The following is a 25,071-nucleotide window of genomic DNA, read 5'->3' as shown; positions in this document are numbered from 1 at the left end:
TGGGAGACCAAGGTGGGTGGATTGATTGAGGCTGGGAGCTTGAGACCAGCCTGCTCAACATTGCAGAACCCTGTCCCTACTAAAAATTCAAAAATTAGCCAGGGATGGTGGTGCATGCCTGTAGTCCCAGGCTCTTAGGAGGCTGAGGTAGGAGGATCACTTGAACCCAGGAAACAGAGGTTGCAGTGAGACAGGATCTCACTCTGTTGCCCAGGCTGGAGTGCAGTGGAGCAACCATGGCTCACTGCAGCCTCAACCTCTTGGGCTCAAGCGATCTCCCATCTCAGCCTCCCAAGTAGCTGGGACTACAGCTGTGCACCACCACAACTGCCTAATTTTTAAATTTTTTGTAGAGGTGGGATCTCACTGTGTTGCTCAGGCTGGTCTCAAATTCCCGGGCTCAAACAGTCATCCCTCCTCAGCCTCCCAAAGTGCTGGCATTAAAGGCCTGAGCCACTATGCTTGGCCAGGCCAGCTTTTTTTGAGAGCTTACCTCTGTCCTGGTTGAATTTCCCTTAAGCCCACACCTTCTTCCACTTTCCTTTATAAGGCTTTATAATAGAGTATTAAAAACAGAAAATTTCCCATATTCCTATATTTACTAAAGTCCTCTTCCTGCCCTTTCTCTAAGAGCTGCTGGGCACAGTGCTGGTTTGGAGCTTTCAGAGTGCCCTGCTCCACTTGGAGAAGGCACTGGAATATATTTCTCCGCCCCGTCCTCCCAAAAGACTCCTGCCTGTCCTGTCTTTGTGCACATTGCTGTCCTCAGAACTGGGTGGACCAGATATCTCTATTAACCTCTGGGGAACTATTGCAGACTTAGATTATGTGTCAAACGCAACATAAATAGGAATAATGTGCTTTGAAGAGGCAGCACAACAAAGTTGATTATCACATGGGTCTTGGGGCTAGATTGGTGGACTCTTGCTTGATCTGGGCCATATCACTTCACCTCACTGAGTGTCGAAACCTTCACCTCTGGAATGGGAATAGAAACAGTACCTGTCTCGAAGCATTGTTGTAAATGATAGATGAATTAATCCATGTAAAAGGTTTTCAAACAGTAGTACTTAAATGCTGAATTATTCTAAATGTTAACTCTTAAAAATGTGTCCCTGCCTTTTAGAACCCCACAGTCCAGTAACTGATAAGATCTACTTGTATGATATTCTAAGGAGGATACTTGTGTATACTTTATCTCTTCAATAGGCTGAATATTCTGAACTGGTCGAAACATTACTATCAAGTCAGCAAGACCCAGTTATTTACCAGAGATTAGCAGATGCCTTCAACAAGCTCACTGCAAGCAGCACTCCTCCTACGCTGGATCGGAAGCAGAAGATGGCCTTCTTAAAGAGTTTAGAAGAATTTATGGCAAATGTTGGTGGTCTCCTTTGTGTAAAATAAACAACAGAACTTTATGCTTAATTTAGATCCTTTCTGCAAAGTGCACTGAATTGCTGAAAGTTGACTTGAGTCTTGTCCTATTCCTCAGTTCATTTGGCCATTTTGGATTTTGGAGAGCCTGAAACTTTGATATGTATGTAATACAGTGAAACAGGAGAGGTCAACTTGGCATCAGCTTCTGCTGTTAAGTGTTAGCCACAATCTGTCATATATATGTCTTTTAGATTCTGAATGGTGATTTAAAATTTTCAAAATGAAATTCCATATATGTGCAAACAGATATGGGCACCACGAAATACATATGCAGTGCCTTTTTTCCTTTTAACATAGGTGGCTAGCCAAAGTTTAGAATTTTTGTCATTAAATATGAAATGGATATATGCTAGGCAGTGTTTCTCAAAATCTCCATAGATCGCCTGCATCACTTGAGGAGCTGGTGAAAAGGCAGATTCTTAGGCCCAACTGTAGACCTTCAGAGTCAGAATGTCTGGTTGTTGGGCCCAGGAGTCTTCATGTTAATAAGCTTCTCCCTTTCGTCACCCCAAAAGTTTTGAATCAATGAAAGAGACATTGAAAACTCTTAAGAGGTTTTGTGCTTTCTAGCTTTTCCTCCCTTTGATGATTGGGTTTTATAATTCAGCAGGAAGGGGAAACATCACCAGGGGTTTGTTGGCTTTTTCTTAGCTTGCTTTCTTGCTTGCTTGCTTTCTTGCTTTTCTTGCTTTCTGTCTCTCTCTTTCTTTTCTCTCTCTCTCTCACATCAACCCAGTGCTGCAGGTTTTGTGTAATACAAGTCACTAATCATACTCTGATGCCTGAACTTGAGGAGGAAAATACATGTATATTTTTGTTCCGTAAAAATAACCTTAGGAACTGTAGCCATTTCATTGCCTTAATTTTAAGAGGAAAATACAAAAACAGCTGATTTGTTTTAGTAAGAAACCACGTCTTGATGCTTCAGAGTTGGTTTAGGGTGTTAGCTGCTATGAACCTGTTGCCCCTTTCGATCGTGTATTTATGTAGGTTTATCAGTGAAATGAAAGGCTTGTTTCCGTCTAGTCTAACTTTTTGAGTGTGTTTCTATCCAGCCACATAGCCCATATCTACTCTAAATGGCTTGCTTAAGCAATAATTATTTTAAAGGATGTGAATCACTGATTCACACAGACTATTGCACGTTGGGGCATTAGGGGCAATAATTCTTATCCAGACATGGGAGCCAGTGAATTTAATTTCAGAGATTAAAAATTCACTTTAGATCCTCTAGTTTGATCTCTTAATCAGGATTTTTATACAGCTGCCAGGCTCCCCTAATTCAGTGTGCCAGCTTACAATGTGGAAATGAAAGCTAATTTATACACAGCAGGCATATGAAACTCCACTCATTGCAGTACTTTCACAGCACAGTGACAGGTAGAGGACTCTGGCACAGGTGCACTCATGAAACTCTGCTTCCACCATGTTCCTGACACCTATCTATTAAACCATTCTGCAAATACGGTTTTTCTACCTGATTGCATATAGCATATGTGTCATTACATGTGATGCTGTGCAAAACTTTGTATAATTCTGTGTTATTAACAGTTAACAAAACTGGAGCATCTGAATTACATCCAACCTGTGCATGTGATGTTAGGTAGATGTGAATGCAGGGCCTTGGGCCATAACTTACATTTCTCTCAATTTGATTAGCTTTGAGTCACAATTAAGGGGAAGCAAAAACATCTTGAAAAGACTGCTAGGAAGGAAATTAATATCAGTCATCCAGAAGTACACGTTTCTGTATTTTAAAAAATACTTTGATGCATTTATTTTTAGGTGTTTTTTTTTTCCCCTTAAAAAACTTGAAGTGATATGCAGCAGTAATCTATTTGTTTTGCATTGTTCTTGGTGTTTTGTGTTTCCCAGATCCCTCAAGCTTTCTCAGCTGTTGTGAATTATGTGTATCTGTGTGTGTGCTAAGTACAGTCTCTTTACCAAAGGGCACTGAAACACACAATTGACTGGACAGGTCCACGCGCCATGACAAAACTATAATCAAGTTATTAAAACTAAAGAGGAGTGGGAAAGGAATGCCTTGGTAAGTAAAAAGGCATCTATATTTAATAACTTTTATCCAGATGGCAACATATTTGCAAAATTTGCCCAGATCCTATTACAATACTAAAAATAGAAAATTTCACCTCCATATTCCTGAGGTGTAATTTCATTAGACTAGTTTTAGTTTAAAAAGACCTTCTTCAGATTGGACCAAATAATACTTATAAGATCAGCAGAATGTTGAATATTAGCTCACTGGGGTGGGGAGAAGCCACTACCATTTTTTAGGTGATGGGGATGCCACTGAGTTGCAACGGCTAGACCTTTTCAGGGTGGTTGTGTCCATGTTTGCCTGATTGGATGCTTATTCACTTTGTGTTTTCTTTTGTTTTATTTTGTCCAATTTTGTCTTTAGCTGTGTTTATTAACTTCTCCGGTCTTGTTTTGTTTTAATGCTCTTGGCCCAGTGGGTGTCAAGAACACTGGCTTAATTCAAGTCAGTTGATTTTTTTTCTATTAAAACTGTTGTTAAAATATTTTTTAAAACAAAAACATTATTTGTGCCCTCTTTTATATATGTCAAAGGGACACTGTCAAGTATTTCATTTTTAGATTTTTGTTTTATAAAATTTCTGTTGTTCATATAGTATCCTTTAACCTCTAGTTTTCCATACATCCTTTGTTTGTTTCTCATTTTATTTTCCTTGACCCATTTATTTCCCAAGGCACAATCACTAAAGACTTTGTACTTTCACAGTCTGTTAATGTGGTAGCACCTGTAACTGTGTTCTTGTTCTGTTAAAAGGATTGATTTGCTTTTATAGTCCTTGTGCTGGATGAGTGGCTGCCTCAGTAGCAAAACTACCTGACAGTATTTGACAGTGTCCTTTCCAGCACCATTATTTGGGTCTTTCAGGGTGGCCATCTCTGTTAGAAGACAGTAGCATGTTAACATCACTGCATTGAGTTTTTGTCTGGTGTAAAGTATGACTTTTAATGTAAACAAACTGCAGGTTTTTTTCAAACTAATTTTAAGAATTTAGTCTTATTTCGTTGTAAACTGTGTATCTAATTATATTACATTACTCTGTTCAGATGGGATGGTTACTACCACTTGTCCATGATTTTCATTTGAAAAGCAAGTATCTATATCATTTCCCCCCAGTCAGCATTATTTAACACTCCCCTTAACTGTCTTTGAACTTTCTCTTTTAACAAAAATGTCAAGTCTTTATAGTTGTAATATCACCATGTTTCCCATTTCTGTTAATACTTCTATGAACCCCTAAAGTATTGAAGGGAACTAGCTGTCAGTTTCAAGGATTACAAGTTTGAGTCTCCTAGTATTCAACATCATTCTGAACCCTGAAATAATATTTTTCTCTGTTAAACAATTTTTATCTGTTTGCCACCTCTGTTGTTAGAGGTGGTTGTCAATTGACCTTACTAAGTTAGCTGTCTTTGATGAGGAATTATTGTTATTGGTTCCTGAATAAAACATTAACCTTTTAAGTCAGAAGGAACCTCGGTACTTCTTAAGGTTTGTTTGTGTTTTCTAAAACCAGAGAATAAGGAACTGATTTGGCTATGAGGTTTAACATTATAATTTTCTGTAAGCTTTCCCACAAAAAAACATTGTTGATTTGAGGATATAATAATGTTTTAATCTTTTTAAAATATAAGTGGTTATTCTCTGACTTGGTAACTATGTTCTGAAAACACTGCATTTAAGAATTTTTAAAAATTGGTTTTCTAAAATTAAAATGTCCAAATTAGGCATATTGCTGAGCTCAAATTGATGTGAAATGCCATGGTTCCAGTTGAATTTTAAGCATATTTTCATTTAGATATAAAATATATGAAGTATGCTTTGTTGATTATAGTGAGAACCCATGACATAGTTAACCAAAGAATATGTTTGGTTCAAATAAAAATAGAAGCTTAATACTGGGCATTCATACTTTTTAAAGAGAATGAATGAAGAAATCGGTTTCCTGCTGTAGTTCTCTATGGGTAAGTCTTAGTAAAGACGAGAATGCTGAAGTCGGCCGTGGCGATTCCCTCCTAGGAACTGGGAGGTGTGGCTTGCCCATTACCCGCTTGAAGCTCACATCTTTACCCTCCTCTCCCACTGTGGTTTGATCTTCACCTATTCCCAGGCCCTCCCAGCAATTGGAGAGGTGTCTTTTTTTTTGGTTTTGGTTTTTTTTCTCCCCGTCTGCATTCTTAGGCCTCTTAGCTATTAGGAACTGTCAGATACATACTAGTAGCTAATTTTCCTAGCCTGAAATTATATACTGCATCTGCACTATGTACCTACTAGGGATCTGACCTCAAGTGTTTTCTGAGCCCAGGCTTCCTGGTGTGGTGTCTTTTACCACATAAAATTATTACAAATTGCAAATGTTGGTATTGTGATTTGATTATCTGTACAAAGAAAGAAGCTCTATGCAGTGAGTTTGTGGTTTAATGGTCACAAAAATGTTAGCACTGCTACCACTCAGCACGTGTAAAATTTTTTAAATTTATAAATATTAAAATTTTAAACTTACACTAAGACTTTTCAGTTTTATTTAAAGACCCAGGGATGAGTGTACTGTTTAAATATTTACCTCTATTAACATAACTAATGAAGGTATAAAATTGCATTTAGTTTTTCAGAAGATGCTGCAATATGATTTTAGGAAATAAGGCTATGTATTGAGCCAGTTATAGGCTGAATATCAGGTTGATAAAATTTTATTTGTATTTTTAAAATTCATAAATGGGAGTTAAAATGTGTCTTTTCACTAAATATTTTTATTACATTTTTGTTTTGACCATGTGTGATTTGTTCATGGGTATTTAGCTAGACTCTTTTATGAAATGCATTGAAATGGTGCTAGTTTGTTTACCATTATAGGAAGATTGACACTGGGGACATTACACGGTCCTAAAATAATTTTAAATTTAAAAAAATGAAGACATCTGTACAGATAAAAATCAAGATTTGCATCACCTTCTGGGAGAACCCGTGGTACTCACAGAATATCCAGTATTAGAAATATAAAAATTTTGTCTATATTTTATAATATTTATCTCAGCCCACAGTCTTAGAAACAGTTTCACAGTTACTAGTTAAGTCATTATCTTTGGTGCATATTTAGTAAATACTTTTAGCAAGTCATTCTTTTTGGCCTTTCAGGGAAAGTGGTGAATTACCATATTACTGTGTGCTAGATAGATCCACCCTTTGCCCAGTGTTAAATCTTGTAAACATATGAAGTGAAAAGTTAATTTTTAAAGAAAATGCATCTTTAAAATGTTCATTTTTAACCTGAATTTGCTTTGAATATTCTTTGATTTGTAATGTTGTTATTTAGCTTATATTGAGATTTATTCCACTCCAAAGGTGGATAAAGAAAAGTTGTTTAAGAAAACCAATTAGAGTGTATTTTGAATTTTTGTTTCTTTCATTACCAAGTGTGGGGCCATACACACAGGCTAATCATCTGTCATTTGAGACCCACAGATGATTTCAAAGGTCCCAAATAAATACACATCTATAACTGTTTTTTAAAAGACATCTTTAATGGTGCTCTCCAAAAATACAATTCGGTTGCTTATGAGTGATGCCTTTGACAGGCTGATTAGATTATAAAACAGTTTTGTTTTTTTAAACATAGGGTCTCAGATTGAGTCTTGTGCATTCTATGTAATCTCAAATGGCAGTTCAGTTTGACTTTCTTTTAAAACTAAGTGGAAATGGTATATTTGGTGAAACTAATGAAAGAATCTTTTGCTGGGAAATTCCATACAGCACCCCCAGCAGCATCCTGTCTCAGTCTGGCGTATAATTCAACCTCCTACTGAGTGTCCCTGTAAATTATTTTTAATATATAGCATGAGAGTGAACTGAGGTAAGTCATTGATGTTTCCCAGAGATGATGAATGAACAAAAGCAAATAGGATCTGCTAAACATTTTTATTCCCACAGTAGTGAGCAGTTTTGTTCTTGTTTTGATAATGTTCATTTCTGCCTAATCTTAGGCTTCAAATACACCTTTAAGAAAGCCCAAGATGTATTGAGTAGTAGAACTTCTTATTTGTACACCTGTTTATAACTGCACTGCCCTGGATGTTATGGTTATTTCTAAGGACTGACCTGGTAAAGCTACTTGAACTGGTAGACTGCAGGGTAGAGGCAGACCTAGATTCAATGTCTAACTAAGCTGCTTAGGGCTTACATTAATTTCCACAGGTCTGTTATCCATATCATGAGTTTATAAGTGTTCCTCCCAAAGAAAAAATTTAAAAGTGATGGATGAAATATAATAGTAGATGCTCAATAAATTCCATTGTATTTAAAGATTATTTCTGAAAACAGATTTCATTTCATTAGACAAATGTATCATAACACTAAGTCTGATACCTAATAGTCAATTGCTTTTAAATACATGCTGTAATATCTTCATATTGATACTACGTTATAGCCCTAACCACAACCACCCTAGGGATATTGGGGTAGACTTCACCATATTATTTACTGTACTTTTTTTTAAAAAATGAGAAAATGGATCTATTTATGTTAACTATCTTAGTCTGTTCTATTTAATTCAACTATCTTACTCTGTGCTATTAGAATACCTGAGACTGAAGAACAGAAACTTACTTCTTTCATTTCTGGAGGCTGCCCTTTGACTTCCATCATGTGGAAGAGGCAAGCAAGCCATCACCAGATGGTGGCGAGAGAGAATCAACTCCCTCCTTCAAGCCCCTTTGTAATGGGACCTAATTTTATTCATTAGGGAGGAACTCTCTTGGCCTAATCACCTCTTAAAGGCCCCACCTCTTCATACTGGCACATTGGCAACAATTGAATTTTGCAAGGGAGCTATTCAAACCACAGCAACAAGGATTTTATTTTCTGCTGAATAGGCACCTATTATTTCTACAACAATGAAAAAATCCTGGCCGGGCGCGCGGTGGCTGACGCCTGTAATCCCAGCACTTTGGGAGGCTGAGGCGGGCGGATCACGAGGTCAGGAGATCGAGACCACCCTAGCTAACACGGTGAAACCCTGTCTCTACTAAAAATACAAAAAAAAAAAACAAAAAGCTGGGCGTGGTGGCGGGCAGCTGTGGTCCCAGCTACTCGGGAGGCTGAGGCAGGAAAATGGCGTGAACCCGGGAGGCGGAGCTTGCAGTGAGCCGAGATCGCGCCACTGCACTCCAGCCTGGGCGACAGAGCGAGACTCCGTCTCAAAAAAAAAAAAAAAAAAAAATCCTAACGGTGATTCCCAAAGTGAGTTTAATTAGTAATTTTTTAAAATAATTGTTGTTAAATAGTTTTGATAAATAAAACAGGTTTCTTTAGTGCATTAAGTTGAAGGCTTTAATACATTAATGCCTATGGTGAAACTCAGAAGAAGAGTTTAATCAGATTTTCCTCATTTTACTTTATACAGTCTTTTCTCAAAGTACCTTACAGGACTAGAAATCTAAGGAATGTCCTTTGCAACATGCTTAGGATAATTCGAATAACTCTGTGATAAAGCACTCAATGGAAGAAAAACAAACACCTGAATCTGTTTTTGTACTTACAGGTAATTTGTTGTTGTTTTAAGAAAAACTGAGTCTAGTGTGGTTTGTTTTGTTTTGTTTTTTTGAGACAGAGGCTCCCTCTGTCACCCAGGCTGGAGTGCAATGGCGTGATCTTGACTCACTGCAACCTCCACCTCCCGGGTGTAAGCGATTCTCCTGCCTCAGCCTCCCAGGTAGCTGGGAATACAGGCGTGTGCCACCACACCGGGCTAATTTTTGTATTTTTAGTAGAGATGGAGTTCCGCCATGTTGACCAGGCTGGTCTCAAACTCCTGACCTCAGGTGATCTGCCCACCTTGGCCTCCCAAAGTACTGGCGTGAGCCCTGCACCTGGTCCCAAGTCTGGTTTACTTTCTTTTTTACACCATTTCTGAAGAGAAGCAAGACGAACAAAAATCACTGGTGAATACACAAAAGGAATAATTCCTGAATTGAAGACATCCTTCATATCCAATTTAACTGGACAAGTAATTTCCCCTTTAATGAGAATAAGTACTCCTTTGATATTTTACATGTTTATGATTTGCAAAAACCATTAAATTACAGTGCATAGGTTTCACCAGGAAAATATGAATCTTACTGTATTACTCTCATGCTGTCTGAGCAATCAGGTCTAGTGAAGGTACAAAAAACTCTGACATCTGTGGTCACTTTCATAGTAAAAATAGTATATAGTAAAATACATGAAGATAACATGTCTTACATGCTATTAAAGCAATGTCAGCTTTGAAAGAAAATGATCTACTGTTTCAGACTCAATTTGACTGAATGTAAACTTCTGTTAAAGTAGTTATAAGCTAGGGCAGTCTTATTTACTGAACACCACCTCCATAAAAAATGCACTCATAAAAGTTGGTTATTGTTTCTCAGTTTGTGTTAAATTTCTTTTAGTTTTTTAAATATATTTTCTTCCTGTTCCTTTTCCAGAATACACCTGATCTTGAAATATTTGGTTAATAGACTTGTCATCAATTCAAAACAAAGTCAAAATGTAGCATGGGTTATTATAAACTGGAAACAGTTCTTAAAATAGAAATTATAGTACACCCAATGTTATAAACCTGTTTCATTAACTACTTACTGAATAGCATCATTTGCCAGCTGAACAGTTTATATCCTTACCTTATACCAGAAAGGATTTTCACATTGCTCAGCAGAATATATAAAATTTAGCAAGATCATGAAATTGGTAAAGAAAATGGAGGAAAGAGAGGGTAGAAGCATAATACAGATTGATTTCTTGGGGAATTGGAAACAAATACTTTGTATCACTTATAATTTGGTAGCTGCTAAAACGTAAGGGAACCTTTCAATAATCAGTGCCTGTATGTGCAAGATAATTAAGGTGTTGTTGACAAAAATCATACATACTTACGGCGCTTGATGTCTAAATACATATATTGACCAACTCATTCAAAACTGAAGACTCTGAAAGACTAACAAGTTTTAAAGGTTCCCCCCCGCTACCGCCAATCCTGTCAATTTTACCAAAGCCTCAATTTGATGTCAACATTTAAAGTCAACGATTTGATTTAAAAAGACTGAGCAGACAATCGACCAATGAAGCCTTGACTTTGAAAATCTACGTGACTCAGTGCAAAATAGTGGGTTTAACTTTAATTAGGATCTTAATTTTTTTTTTTTTAGATGTTGCCTTGCTCTGTCGCCCAGGCTGGAGTAGCTGTGGTGCGATCTCGGCTCATTGTAGCCTCTGCCTCCCGGGTTCCAGCGAGTCTCCTGCCTCAGCCTCCTGGGTAGCTGGGATTACAGGCGCACGCGACCACGGCCAGCTAATTTTTGTATTTTTTAGTAGAGACGAGGTTTCACCATGTTGGTAAGGCTGGTCTCGAACTCCTGACCTCAGGTGATCCGCCCGCCTCGGCCTCCCAAAGTGTTGGGATTACAGGCGTGAGCCACCGCGCCCTGCCAGGGCCTTCATTTTTTTTGTTGTTGTTGTTTTTTTGCTACCATTCTTGGGGGCGGCTGATGAGACAAGCGAAGGAACGACTCCAGGCTGGAGACGGCCCTCAGTGTTGTAAACGCGGGATTGAGACGCTGCGGGGAGATGGCCTGCCTTGCGCAAGGGCCTGGGCGGGAGGGCCTGCGCCTGCGCTAGCGAGACTGGCTAGCCACTCCCACTGCACACGGCGAGTCTGGGCGACTGCGCACGCGCGGCTGGTGAGTGGCGGGTTCGGGCGCAGCTGTAGGGTTGGCTGCGCGCCGCCGAGGCGTTTTGGACTGGGTTAGGTGCCTTTTGTGTGTTTGTTTCTCACCTTTTTTCCAGGGTGGTAGTGGTGGAAGAGTTTAATTAGCAGTGGCTGGCGGATTCCTGAGGGAAGGAGCTGGCGCCGGCCTGAGAGTGGATCCTGGTTGCTGTGTTAGGCGCTGTTGGGCCTCGCGTCCCGGTCGCCGGAAGGCGCCGCGTCCTGTGCCGCGCACGTTGGCGCCCGGGCCTTAGGCAGCCTTGGTGCTGACGGGGAAATTAACCCCCAGGCTACGGCAGCGCGTGGAGGCCTCCCTTCCCTCCGAGTAGAAACAGGACTCGGCCTGCTGTCCTTTTCATCTTTGCCCTCAGAAGTTCGCTGATGGAGTTTGCGAAATGCCCAGGCCTGACTGTCCGCTCCTGGAGGGCGGGCACCCGCGGCGCCTGTCGCTGGGGCTTCTGAGGCAGGTCCCTTGCAGGATGCGGGTGCTGCGAGGTGGAGTAGACTAGGACGCGGGCGGCTTTACTGCGAAACGGGCAGTAGCTTCGGAGGTGCAGAAGAAGTGCTGGGACGATAGCGGGTCCCTACCGGGAGGGAGCCACATGTCAGACAGGAAGGCCTTCCTTATAGGGGTTGTGGTTACATGGGGCGTACATCACAACGTCGCACTGCACACGTACGACCTGCATTTCATTGTAAGCATTACCTCCTTTTTAAAGTTAATTTAAAAACAGGATAAATAGAATTCTGGAAAGCAAGAAGGAAGGAACTGTTTGAGGCAGGGGGACTCAAAGATGAAAACAGAATGAAAACCTTTGGCCCTTTTCTGGACGTAAATTGGATTAAGGGGAGAATCATCCAGCAATTTATAAAAAGTATTTGGAGAATATCTAGGCCTTACCCATTCATAGAGGGAGCCTTGCTCTCCTGCGGTTTACTGGAGTCTGGGATGGCTCCTAGGTTAATGCTCTTTGCTCTGAATCACACTATCTTAACCTAATTTCACACAAGAATGAATGTTGAAATTACAGTATGGTGGTTTTGCCCTAAGTAAATTTGATAACATGGAAATTGAGTAATTTTATCCAAAAAGAGACTAACCACAGCCCCTGAGAAGCCAGCTAATCCCTGCTTATGCTGCAAGCTAACGTGTCCGCCCCTTTGCTCATGCTGTTCCATCTTTCTGAAGTCTTCACTCTTCATCCTTACCTTTTCCTGAGGCCGAGTTGAAGCTCCACCTGCTCTTTCACTCCTCTCCCCACTCAGGCCCTCCACTCTGATCCCATGGCGTGAATGGTGCTTCTCTATAGAGGGCCTCCACCTTACCGTTGGTGTTCGCCATGTGTCTGCCTAACCTAGAATTTCTCAACTGCAGCTTGTAGGGCGGGATACTTCTTTAATGTGGAGGGCTGTCCTGTGAATTTTAAGTTCAGCAGCCTCTACCCACCTGATGCCAGTAGCACCCTCCTTCCCATTTACGGCAACCAAAAATGTCTCTAGGCATTGCCAGATGTTCCCCTTAGCGACAAAAGGGCTCCTCATTCTGTGAGAACTGCTGATTTAGAGTCTGAGCCACATAAGGTCCAAGGTCAGCTTAATAATAATATAATTTCAATATAATCCATAGGTACAAGTTTTAAAATCTAAAGAAAAAAATTTTTTTTACTGCCACTTGTGGGGCAGGGCCAGCCATAGACAGTGTGCCCAGAGTAGCCAGAAAAAATTTAAAAATAATAATAATATAACACAGTACTTCCCAGCTCTTTTGGATTTGAAAAATCTCATAAACCCCCTTAGAAATTTTAAAAACAATAAAGATATGATAAAATAGTGATTTAAAAAATAGTTAAAAATAGGTTCATTTAATTTAATTTTTTTTTTTTGAAATGTAGTCTCACTCCTGTCATTCAGGCTGGAGTGCAATGGCGAGATCTCAGCTGACTGCAACCTCCATCTCCTGGGTTCAAGCGATTCTCCTGTCTCAGCCTCCTGAGTAGCTGGCGCTATAGGTGCCTGCCACCACACCTGGGTAATTTTTGTATTTTTAGTAGAGACAGGGTTTCACCATGTTGGCCAGGCTGATCCCGAATTCTTTACCTAAGGTGATCTGCCCGCCTCGATCTCCCAAAGTGCTTGGATTACAGGCGTGAGCCACCACTCCCGGCCATTTCATTTAATCTTTGATGTTTATCTTGCTAACAGATTTCAGTTTTCCTCATTAGAAGAAGTGATGCACTTTTGAACTCACTTTAACAATGTAGGAAACTTCTACGATTCCTAAAATTGCAGCCCCCTATGCTCTCCATGTGTTCCTCCATTAATCTTATTGTCATCTAACATTTATTTCATATGTATTGTTTTAGTCTGTCTTTTCCTCTCTAGAATGTAAGCTCCAAGAGAATAAGGACTTTGAGACTCATCACCAAGAACAGTGCTTTCTACAGGGTAGAAAATGATTATCAAAGGAATGGATTTGGTACTCTTTATACTTTCATTTTGGGATCAAATTCTTATATAGATTGGAATTTAATTGCCTTTTACAGCTATGAAAGGCGACAATTTTATTAAATTGCTCTTTGGAATTCCTTGTTTTGCATTTATAGTCAACTGGTTCCTTTTTGGTTTTCATGTTTTATTTCTAAGTGATTAACAAGTTACAGGCTGTTATTTAAAAGCCCTTCTTCAGTGACGCAGCTGTGGAAAGTACTAATAAAAATGGAATTGGCTGGGCATAATGGCTCATGTTTGTAATCTTAGCACTTTGGGAGAACAAGGTGGGTAGATCACTTGAATCGAGGAGTTCAGGACCAGCCTGGGCAACATGACGAGACCCCCGTCTCTACAAAAATTAGCTGGACATGGTAGTGTGCATCTGTAGTCCCAGCTACTCAGGAGGCTGAGCTGGGGTAATTGCTTGAGCTGGGGAATTTGAGGCTGCAGGGAGCCACAATCGCACCACTGCACTCCAGCCTGGGCAGCAGAGTGAAACCCTGTCTCAAAAAAAAAAAAAAATTTATATGTCAAGGATAAATATATATGCATATGTGTGTATGTATGTGTCTGCATATGTATATGGACACACTCATATACACACACAAACACACTTTTATTTTTCTTTCAGTTCTAGGCAGTATTGTGGTGCAGCCTTTTTTAAGGAACTTGTACTCTTCGATTTTGCCAGGCAATATTGGCTTTTACTAGTTGCCTGATTTTTCTCCTGAATGAAAAGAACTCACAGTTCTGAAATACCAAATTGAAACCTTTTAGTTGTTTGCAGATCATTTTGCCATGTTTTCTCAGTTCAGCATGCACACAAGCTAATCTTTGGAATTTTTACTTGGAAATTTTCCGGCCTGTTGGGTTCTGGTATGCTTTCCTGAAAATGTGTTTTTGTGCTTATGCTTATTGCAGTAAACTAGAACTATTCATTTCAAGCATTTGTACCATTCTTTGGTGGGACTTCTATAGACAACCCCGTGTTGACTGAAATTATTTTTAGTTCTAAGTATAAAAACCTTAAAAGTAGATAATCCATCACTTTTCATCTTATAAAACTGAACAGTACACCCATTAAACCCTATTCTCCCCTCCCCCCAGCCCCTAGCAACCACAATTCTACTTTCTGCCTCTCTGATTTTGACTACTCTAGATACTTCATATAAATGGAGTTATGCAGTATTTTTTTAAATGACTGGCTTATTTCACGTAGCATAATGTCCTGAAGGTTTATCCACATTGTAGCATATATCAGAATTTCCTTCTTTTCCAAGGGAATCATATTCCATTGTATGTATTTATTTCATTTTCCTATATTCATGCTTGCTGATTCTCTTCTGCCTGCTCAAAACTGCTTTTAATTCCTCTAGTTAGTTTTTCATTTCATTATTGTATTTTTCAGCTCCAGAATTTCTACTTAGTCTCCTTTTATGTTTTCTGTCTCTCTATTTATATTTCCATTTTGTTCATATGTCATTTTCCTCACTTTCTCTACACCTTTCTTTAGTTATCTGAGAATCTTTAAGATAGTTATTTTAAAGTCTTTGTCTATGAGGCCCACCATCTAGTCTTTCTCAGGGATGGTTTCTCTTTTATTTTTTTTTTCCTTTGAATGGGCTGTACTTTCCTGTTTCTTTGTGTGCCTTGTAATTTTTATGTTGAAAAATAAGTCATTTGAGTAATAATGTGATAACTCTGGAAGCCATATTGTTCTCCCTTCACCAGATTTTGCTGGGTTTTTGTTATGTTTTTTTGATTTTGTAGGCTGTCTTTTGCTGGGGATCAGCACGAGTTGTAAACTTAAGATCTTCTCAGGTATTTTCTGAGCCCATGCCTTTCCCTGGGAATGTGTAATGGCTTTCTAAATTCCCCTGTATATGCAGTTGTGTTTGAATGTCTCAGTCCTTAGATATCTGGCTTCCCGAAGGGATAAAAGAAAAGTAGAAGCATGGGGGAAAGGTGCTGGCCCTTTAAATCTGCTGGAGGTCACTTTAGCCAGAGGGAGAGGGGCTTGCAACAATGGCTGCCACCTGCATCTTTGGCTTTCTTATCAGAAGCAGCAAAGGGAGTCAGAACAGATTATTCCAATGTTTGAAAGACAGGTGGTTCCTGTAAGTTTTATGCAAGGTGTTTCCTGAATGTGTGCATAGCCAAGCTGCTCCTGGAACTATTCTGTGTTTACTTAGATTTTGTGTTTGCCTATTTGACATATATTAAGTACAGGGACAAACTAAAGGCTAAAGTTGTTTACATCATCCTTTTAAGCCCTCTCTCGTGGGTGCACAAAACTCATATCACAGACTTCCCAGTGACAACCATAGAATGTCTGTTTTTGCTTTATGCCCAACAGGGGACATCCCCACCTAGATCCATCCCACTGACTTAGCAATAAAGGCATAGTCTCAGGTCCTCTCTCTGCTTTGTGGTCTCTGCTTGTGACAGAGTTTCACGTGGCCCCCTGTGGCATGCCATGACCCTCATTTCTGGGGAGAATTGTAACATTAAACTTTCTTTTCAATGGCATTGATCTCTCCATGTCCTCTCTGTCACCTTTATAAATTAAGATTTAAAACAAGAATGCATGCATAGCTGCTTGTCAGGGGGCTGGAGGGTGAGAATGGGTAGCTGCTGCTGATCAGAGAGCTGAAATTCGCTGAAATTAAACACTATTTACCATCTAAGCCTTCCAGTAGACCCTTCAAAAGATTGAGGTGTCCAATCTTTTGGCTTCCCTGGGCCACATTGGAAGAAGAATTGTCTTGGGCCACACATAAAATACCCTAACAATAGCTGAGAATCTGGGTAGGCCAAGATGGCTAGAGTGGAAGGCTGAGTACCAGAGAGAATAGAGAAAGAACTCCAGGTATCTGCAGAGGGACCTCCTTGAGAAACTACTGGAAGATAGGGAAATAAACATCTGAAAAGATTTGAAGGAACAATACCTGACTCATTCAAGACCAAGAATAGTGTCTTTCTACCAGCTGGACTGGAAAACCTCATAATTTATGGGGCATTGGATAGAGTACTTCAAAGGGTTTTGCCTCCGTAGTGGGGTGTAATCAGTCTAGACTAAGTGCTGCTCTGCTCTTATCTAACAGTCTTAAAAATGAGACCTGAAAAGATCAAATTGTTTCCAAGTAATTAACCTGTGTTTCAGGAATACTTACATAGGAATACAGAAATATACAGATACAAGTTAAAATCCACAATGTCTGGCATTCCATAAAAAAACTATCAGACATGTGAAAAAGCAAGAAAATACAATCCATAATGGGAAAATCAGTCCACTGAAACTGACCCAGAATAGATATATGTTAGAAGTAGTGGACAAGGATGCTAAAATAAATTTATATCCTGTACTTTCAAAAAGCTAGAGGAAAATTGAACATGTGAACTGGAAATATGCAAATAAAGACTCATGTAACTTTTGGAGATAGGTCTGAGATGAAATGTCTGTGGTGAAAATTACACTGTATGGGATTAATAGATTAGACATAGAAGAATAGAAGATTAGTAAACTTGAACACTAGAAATAGAAGCTATCACAAATGAAATACAAAGAGAAAGAAGTTTAAAATGAAGAAAGCATCAGAGAGTTGTGGTACAATATGAAGCTACTAAATATATGTATAATTGGAGTCCCTGAAAGGGAAGGGCAGCAGAAGATTACTTGGGAAATAATGGTCAGAGTTTTTCCAAATTTAAGAAGCTCAATAAACACAAAATACAAGAAACGTGTAAAAAACCACACCAAGGCACATCATAATCAAATACCCAAAACCAGTAATAAAGAGAAAAACCTTAAAAACCATTAGAAAAGAAAGACATGAAGAAAAATAAGAATTACAGCAGATTTTATGTGTGGAAACAATGCAGTGAACAGACAGTGGAGGACTATCTTTAAAATACCAAAAGAAAACTTGTCAACCTCAAATTCTATACCCACAGTTAAACAGACATTATCAGAAACAAAAGCTGAGAGAATGCATCACCAGCAGAATTATACTACAAGGAATGTTCAACGAAGTCATTCAAGCAGAAGGAAAATGACACCAGCTGGAAATATCTTTTTTTTTTTTTTTTTTTTTTTTTTGAGACAGAATCTCGCTTTGTCGCCCAGGCAGGAGTGCAGTGGCAAGATCTAGGCTCGCTGCAAGCTCCGCCTCCCGGGTTCATGCCATTCTCCTGCCTCAGCCTCCCGAGTAGCTGGGACTACAGGTGCTTGCCACAACGCCCGGCTAATTTTTTGTATTTTTAGTGGAGACGGGGTTTCACCGTGTTAGCCAGGATGGTCTCGATCTCCTGACCTCGTGATCCGCCCACCTCAGCCTCCCAAAGTGCTGGGATTACAGGTGTGAGTCACCGCGCCTGGCCCACCATCTGGAAATATCTATACAACAGAATGAGGAGTTAAATATATGTATGAGTTTTTAATTTAACAATGTAGTGTGGCATTTATAACAAATGTAAAAGTAAAATGTATGACAACAATAACACAAAGGTTTGGAGAAGAGAAATGGATTTATGTATACTATTCTAAGCTTCTGTTTTTTTCTTTTTCTTTTTTTGTTTTTTTTGAGATGGAGTCTTGCTCTGTCGCCCAGGCTGGAGTGCAGTGGTGTGATCTTGGCTCGCTGCAACCTCTGCCTCATAGGTTCAAGCAATTCTCTTGTCTCAGCCTCCTGAGTAGCTGGGACTACAGGCGCCTGCCATCACACCTGGCTAATTTTTGTATTTTTAGTTGAGACAGGATTTCACCATATTGGTCAGGCTAGTCTCAAACTCCTGACTTCAGGTGATCCACCTGCCTTGGCCTCCCAAAGTGCTGGGATTACAGACGTGAGCCACCGCACCCAGCCATGTACCATAATTCTTAAGCAACCTCTTAAATAACAGAGTCACAGCTAGTAAGCTAGCAATGGAGAAAGAAATAGATTCATAAAATGTTTTCACTGCTATGTAGTGAATATATTTATACTGTAGGAATATACAACATTATATACTGTCTAATGGTTGGACATTTCAGTTGAGTTTAATTTTTTCTATTACATGTTTCTTTTTTTCTTTTTCTTTTCTTTCTTTCTTTTTTTTTTTTTTTTTGAGATGGAGTCTCACTGTGTCACCCAGGCTGGAGTGCAGTGTTGTGATCTCTGCCCACTGCAACCTCCTCCTCCCAGGTTCAAGTGATTCTCCTGCCTCAGCCTCCTAAATAGCTGAGATTACAGGCAGTGCCAACATGCCCAGCTAATTTTTTTGTATTTTTAGTAGAGATGGGGTTTCACCATGTTGGCCAGGCTGGTCTTGAACTCCTAACCTCATGATCTGCCCACCTTGGCCTCCCAAAGTGCTGGGATTACAGGTTTGAGCCACCACGCCCAGCCTCTATTGCATATTTCTATTTTGAGCATCTTTTCATATATGCCTACTTGATGTTAGACTTCTTAATTGCGGTCAATCTGGTAGGTGTATAGTGGTATCTCATTATGATTATAATTTGCATTCCCTCATGACAAGGTTGAATACCTTGTCATATGATGTTTGATTATCTGTATGTCATCTTTTATAAAGTGCCTGTTGAAATGTTTTTCCTATTTTGTCTTTTGGTATAAAAGAATTCTAAAAAAAAAAAAATTCAAGAAACATATATGAAAGCTAGAAAAGGAAACAAGAATTAAAACCAAGAGAAGAGGCCAGACGCAGTGGCTCATGCCTGTAATCCCAGCACTTTGGGAGCCCAAGGCAGGTGGATCACGAGGTCAGGAGTTCGAGACCAGCCTGGCCAACATGGTGAATCCCATCTCTACTAAAAGATACAAAAAATAGCCAGGTGTGGTGGCCGGCGCTTGTAATCGCAGCCACTGGGGAGGCTGAGGCAGGGGAATCGTGTGAAACTAGAAGGCGGAGGTTGCAGTGAGCTGAGATTGCACCACTGCACTCCAGCCTGGGCGAAAGAGTGAAACTCTATCTCAAAAAAAAAAAAAAAAAAAAAAAAACCCAAGGGAAGAAACAGAAAGCAAATAATGAAATAGGCTTAAGCACAATATATCAATAATAACATTAAGTGTAAAAGGTCCAGATGCACCAATAAAGGAGCTTATCAGTAAGGATTTAGTTTTTATTTTTATTTTATTTTATTTTCGAGTTGGAGTCTTGCACTGTTGCCTGGGCTGGAGTGCAGTGGCACGATCTCGCTCACTGTAACCTCTGCCTCCCGGGTTCAAGCGATTTTCCTGCCTCAGCCTCCCGAGTAGCTGGGATTACAGGTGCCCTCCACCATGCCCGGCTAGTTTTTTGTATTTTTAGTAGAGACGGGGTTTCGTTATGTTGACCAGGCTGGTCTCAAACTCCTGACCTCGTGATCCACCCGCCTCAGCCTCTCAAAGTGCTGGGATAACAGGCGTGAGCCACTGTGCCTGGCCAGGATTTTTTTTTTAGACGAAAACTATATGCTGCCCACAAGAAACTCACTTCAAAATTAGGGTGTGTGTGTGTGTGTGTGTGTGTGTGTGTGTGTGTGTTGAAAGTGAAAGGAAGGGGAAAATATATGCCATAGAAGCTTTTTTTTAAAAGCATGAGCACTTTTATTGATAGCAGGTAAAGTAGACTTATAAGAGTAAAGAAGTCACTAGGAACAACAACAGAATTACATAATGATAAAAAGAGTGAATTCATCAAGAACAAACAACAGTTCTAAGTATGTACGCACCAAACGAGAACAATTTAAATTACATGAAGCATGAAATAAAAACTGATAGAACTGAAAGGAAACAGACAAATCCACAATTACAGCTGGGTACTTCCATTCCCTCTCAGCAATCGATAGAACTACTAGATGGGAAACCAGCAAGGATACAGGGGACTTAATAACACCATTAACCAAAAGGATCTATTCACATTTATATAACCTTCACCCAACAACATCAAAATACACATTGTTTTCAAGTATTCATGGAATATTTCACCAACATAGACCATATCCATAGCTATTACACAAACTTCAGCATTTTTAAAAAGTGTTGAAATTATACATGCTAGAAAACCTAATAGGAAAATCTCCAAACACTTGGAAATTAAACAGTGTCCTTCTAAATATATGGGCCAGAGAGAAATTTAAAAGTACACTGAACTGAATGAAAATGGGTGAAAAAGGACAAAAATTTGCTGGGATGTTGCTAAAAGGGAATTTAAAGCACTGAACACTTAAATTAGAAGAAAGGTCTCAAAACAGTGTTCTAAACTCCCAGAACAAAAAGGTAGTTTAAAACAAATGCAAAGCAAGTAGAAGGAAGGAAATGAAAGGCAGAAATCAATGAAATTGAAAATAAAGTCAATGATGCAAAAACTTATTTTTTAAAAGAGATCAATAAAATTGATGAACCTTTAGTAAGAAAAAAGAGAAAACAGAAATTACTGACATTAGGAATGAAATGGGGGATATCAGTACAGATCCTAAAGACATTAGAAATAATTGAGGACTGCTATAAACATCTCTATCCAGATAAATTTTAACAACTTAGATGAAGCAGACCAATTCGTTGAAACTACAAACTACGAGAACTCACCCCATATGAAACTGATAATGTGAATAGCCGTGTAAGTATTAAATTGAATTTGCAGTTAAAGGCCTCTCATACAAGAAATTTTCAGGCCAGGCATGGTGGCTCATGCCTGTAATCTCAGCAGTTTGGGAGACCTAGGCGGGCAGATCACCAGAGGTCAGGAGTTTGAGACTGGCCTGGCCAACATGGTGAAACTCCATCTCTACTAAAAATGCAAAAATTAGCCAGGGTGGGTGGTAGGCACCTGTAATCCCAGCTATTTGGGAGGCTGAGGCTGGAAAATCGCTTGAACCCAGGAGGCGGAGGTTGCCGTGAGCTGAGATCGAGCCATTGCACTCCAGCCTGGGCGACAATAGCAAAATTCTGTTTCAAAAAAAAAAAACAAAAATTTCGGGCCTTAAATGCTAGGGATGCTATAACAAAATACCGTAGACTGGGTGGCTAAAAGTAATGGCAGAAACAGCAATTACCTTTGCACCAACCTAGCATCTCCAGATATAATTACAATGAGGGTTAAGGCTTTAACATATAAATGGGGTGCAGGGTGGGAGGGGGGTGGTGTGTCAATTGAATCCATAGCACATGATTTCACTGAAAAAAATTACCAAATGTTTATTGCGTTAGCACTGATTGTACACAGTCTTTTCCAGAAAATAGAAGAGGAGACATTTCTAGTTTATTTGATGAGACCAATATTACCTTGTTACCAAAACCAAAGACAATACAAAGACCGAAAACAATAGACAAATATACCTCATGAAGATAGGTGACGAAATCCTCAGCAAAATATTAGTAAATATGATTTAGCAATACATAAGAAGAATCAGTTAAGTGGAACCTATTCCAGGAATGTGAGACTGGTTTAATAGATAATCAGTTTAATTTATATCATGAGGTTAAAGAAAAATCACATGATCGTATAAGTTGATATCAAAAAGTTATTTGAAAATTCAACACCCATTCATGATGAAACTTGGCAAACTACTAATAAAGGGAATGTCCTCATCTTAACATAGAACATCTACACCCTGGGTGTAGTGACTCACACCTGTAATCCCAGCACTTTCGGAGGCTGAGGCAGGAGGAACACTTGAGCTCAGGAGTTTGAGACCAGCCTGGGCACCAGAGTGGGACCCCATCTCTACAAAAAATAAAAATGTTAGCCGGGCATGGTGGCGCATGCCTGTAGTCCCAGCTGCTTGGGAGGCTGAGGTGGAAAGATCACTTGAGCCCAGAAGGTTGTGGCTGCATCATATTTAATGGTGAAAGATTGAATGCTTTCCCACTTAAAATCTGGGACAAGTGTAGGATATCTGCTCTTATCACTCCTATTCAGCTCACTAGAAGTCCTGGCCAGGCACGATGGTTCATGCCTGTAATCCCAGCACTTTGGGAGGCCGAGGTGGGCGGATCACTTGAGGTTAGGAGTTCGAAACTAGCCTGGCCAACATGTGAAACCCCATCTCTACTAAAAATGCAAAAAAATTTAGCTGGGCGTGGTGGCAGGTGCCTGTAATCCCAGCTACTGGGGATGCTGCTGAAGCAGGGAGAATCGCTTGAACCCAGGAGGTGGAGGTTGCAGTGAGCCAAGAATGCACCACTGCACTCCAGCCTGGGCAACAGAGCAAGACTCTGCCTCAAATTAAAAAAAAAAAAAAAAAAAAGACTGATGAAATACATCAAAGATGAACTAAATAAATGGAGAGATGTGCCATGTTTTATGGATTGGAAGACCCCGAAAAATAAAGGTTCTCGTTCTGTTACCCAGGCTGAAATACAGTGGTATGATCTTGGCTCACTGCATCCTATGCCTCCAGACTCAAGTGATCCTCCCACCACAGCCTCCCATGTAGCTGGGTCTACAGGCACATGCCATCACACTCAGCTAATTTTTAAAAACATTTTTGTAGAGACAAGGTCTCACTGTATTGCCCAGGCTGCTCCTAGGCTCAAGTGATCCTCCTGTCTCAGCCTCCCACATTCCACCTGAATTATACACTTTAAATAGATGAATTGTATGGTATATGAATTAGATCTCAATACAAATGTTTTAAAATTTGCACATTTCACTTCAATAGGCATTTCAAAAACAACTACATGACTGCAAAGAGAATCCTGACTTCTCTGGCCACAGTAAACCTCATAGTACAGGGATTCAGTTCTTCATTTGATGAAACCCTCTTATAATGTATCATCATGAAATAAATTTTTTGATGTCCTCAAAATAAACACACTCTAACCATAAAATCCAACATCATACTCTTGAGCATTTATCCAGAGAAATGAAAATGAAAATTCCTATACATTTTACAGGAATGTTCACAACAGCTCTATTTGTAATACCTTAAAATTGGAAACAACCCAAATGTTTTAGTGGGTGAATGGTTAAGTGTGGCCATACTATGGATTACTACTCAGCAATAAAAAGGAATAAACTATTGATACACAGAACAACCTGGGTAAATTTTAAACCATGCTGAGTGAAAATGACAATCTCAAGTTATATAATGTATGATTCCATTTATCTAAAGTGACAAAATTATTGAAACGGAGAACAAATGCTTTCCAGGGGTTAAGAATGGAGATTGAGGTGGGAGAGGATGGGAATGACTTTAAAAAGGTAGTACAACTCATCTCTTTGGTGCTGGAATATTCTGTCTCTTATCCATGGAAGTGTTTTCATGAATCTACACGTGATATCATTATATAAAACTATACACATGTGCATACGCCTGCAAATAAATGTGTGTAAAACTGGTGAACTGCACGAGCTCTGTGGATTGTACTGTTCATTTCCTGGTTTGACAATGCACTGTAGTTATATAAGTTACTACCATTGTGGAAAAATAGGTGGAAGGATACATGGGATGGACCTTCATTATTTTTGCACATTCCTGTGAATCTGTGATTATTTCAGAGTAGAAAGCTTAGGAATGAGAATTGGTGTAGAAAAATAGAAATATTTATGTCCAAATTATCAGATTCTTTTCCAAAAGATTATGCCAATTTAAATTGTTATCTAAATTAGAGAGTATACCAATATCACTACCTTCTCATCAGCATTAAGTGTGTCCATTATTTTGATGTTTTATCTGTGTATTCTTTTTAATTTTTTAGAGTATGTATATTTTTAAATTTTAAAACATATTTTATTTTTAATTTTAGATTCAGGGCATACATGTGCAGGGTATATTGGGTGATACTGGAGTTTGGGTTTCTAGTGAACCCATCACCCAATATTGAACATAATATCTGATAGGGTAGTTTTTTTCAATCCTTCCCCCACTCTTCCCGGCTCCTCTCTTGGAGTCCCTAGTATCTATTATTTCTGTCTTTATGTCCACCTGTACCCATTGTTTAGCTCCCGTCTACAAGTGAGAGCATGTGGTATTTGGTTTTCTGTTTCTCTTTTAATTCACGTAGGATAATAGCCTCTAGCTGCATCCATGTTGCTGCAAAGGACATGATTTCACTCTTTTTTATGGCTGTGTACTATTCCATGGTGTATATGTAGCACATTTTCTTTATCCAGCCCATCTTTGATAGGACGCTTAGGTTGATTCCATGGCTTTACTATTGTGAATAGTCCTGCAATAAACAGCCTAGTACAGGGGTCTTTTTGTTTTACATAGGATTAGCTAACTTACATTCATACCCGCAGTGTATAAGCATTCCCTTTTCTCATATCCTTGCCCACATCTGTTATTTTTTGACTTTTTTTTTTTTTTTTTTTTTGAGACAGAGTCTCGCTCTGTTCCCCAGGCTGGGGTGCAGTGGCGCAA

The 25,071-nt window shown here is 39.4% G+C and overlaps 2 protein-coding genes across 16 annotated transcripts in view, besides 1 other annotated feature; both read left to right on the top strand.

The window, feature by feature from the left end:
- The window catches only part of XPO4 (exportin 4), a 125,446-nt gene extending 117,646 nt beyond the window's left edge, over window positions 1-7,800 (top strand). For all 12 annotated transcript variants that reach the window (NM_001372061.1, XM_047430537.1, NM_022459.5 and 9 more), the window contains one exon: window positions 1,210-7,800. In NM_001372061.1, coding sequence (NP_001358990.1) covers window positions 1,210-1,407 — 198 coding nt within the window. In that variant the 3' untranslated portion in view covers window positions 1,408-7,800. The remainder of the gene's footprint in view (window positions 1-1,209) is intronic.
- Window positions 7,801-11,167: 3,367 nt separating this feature from the next.
- EEF1AKMT1 (EEF1A lysine methyltransferase 1) overlaps window positions 11,168-25,071 on the top strand; it is a 45,231-nt gene continuing 31,327 nt past the window's right edge. For 2 of the 4 annotated variants that reach the window (NR_134934.2, NM_001318939.2), the window contains exon 1: window positions 11,168-11,208. The gene's annotated coding sequence lies outside the window, so the exon portion shown is untranslated. Of the gene's footprint in view, window positions 11,273-13,125; window positions 13,264-25,071 lie in introns of those variants that run through there. The other 2 variants (NM_174928.3, XM_017020432.2) reach the window with 2 other exon arrangements.
- Window positions 11,594-11,813: an enhancer, noted in NCBI's record as "active region_7426". NCBI's record gives its function as "activates an Ori minimal core promoter by ATAC-STARR-seq in GM12878 lymphoblastoid cells {active_cell/tissue: GM12878}" and the evidence as "EXISTENCE:reporter gene assay evidence [ECO:0000049][PMID:35858748]".

The sequence above is a fragment of the Homo sapiens genome, chromosome 13 (genome assembly GCF_000001405.40).
Source record: "Homo sapiens chromosome 13, GRCh38.p14 Primary Assembly".
NCBI lineage: Eukaryota > Metazoa > Chordata > Mammalia > Primates > Hominidae > Homo > Homo sapiens.
The sequence above is the reverse complement of the archived record's forward strand: the minus strand, read 5'-3'. Positions and strand labels throughout refer to the sequence as shown.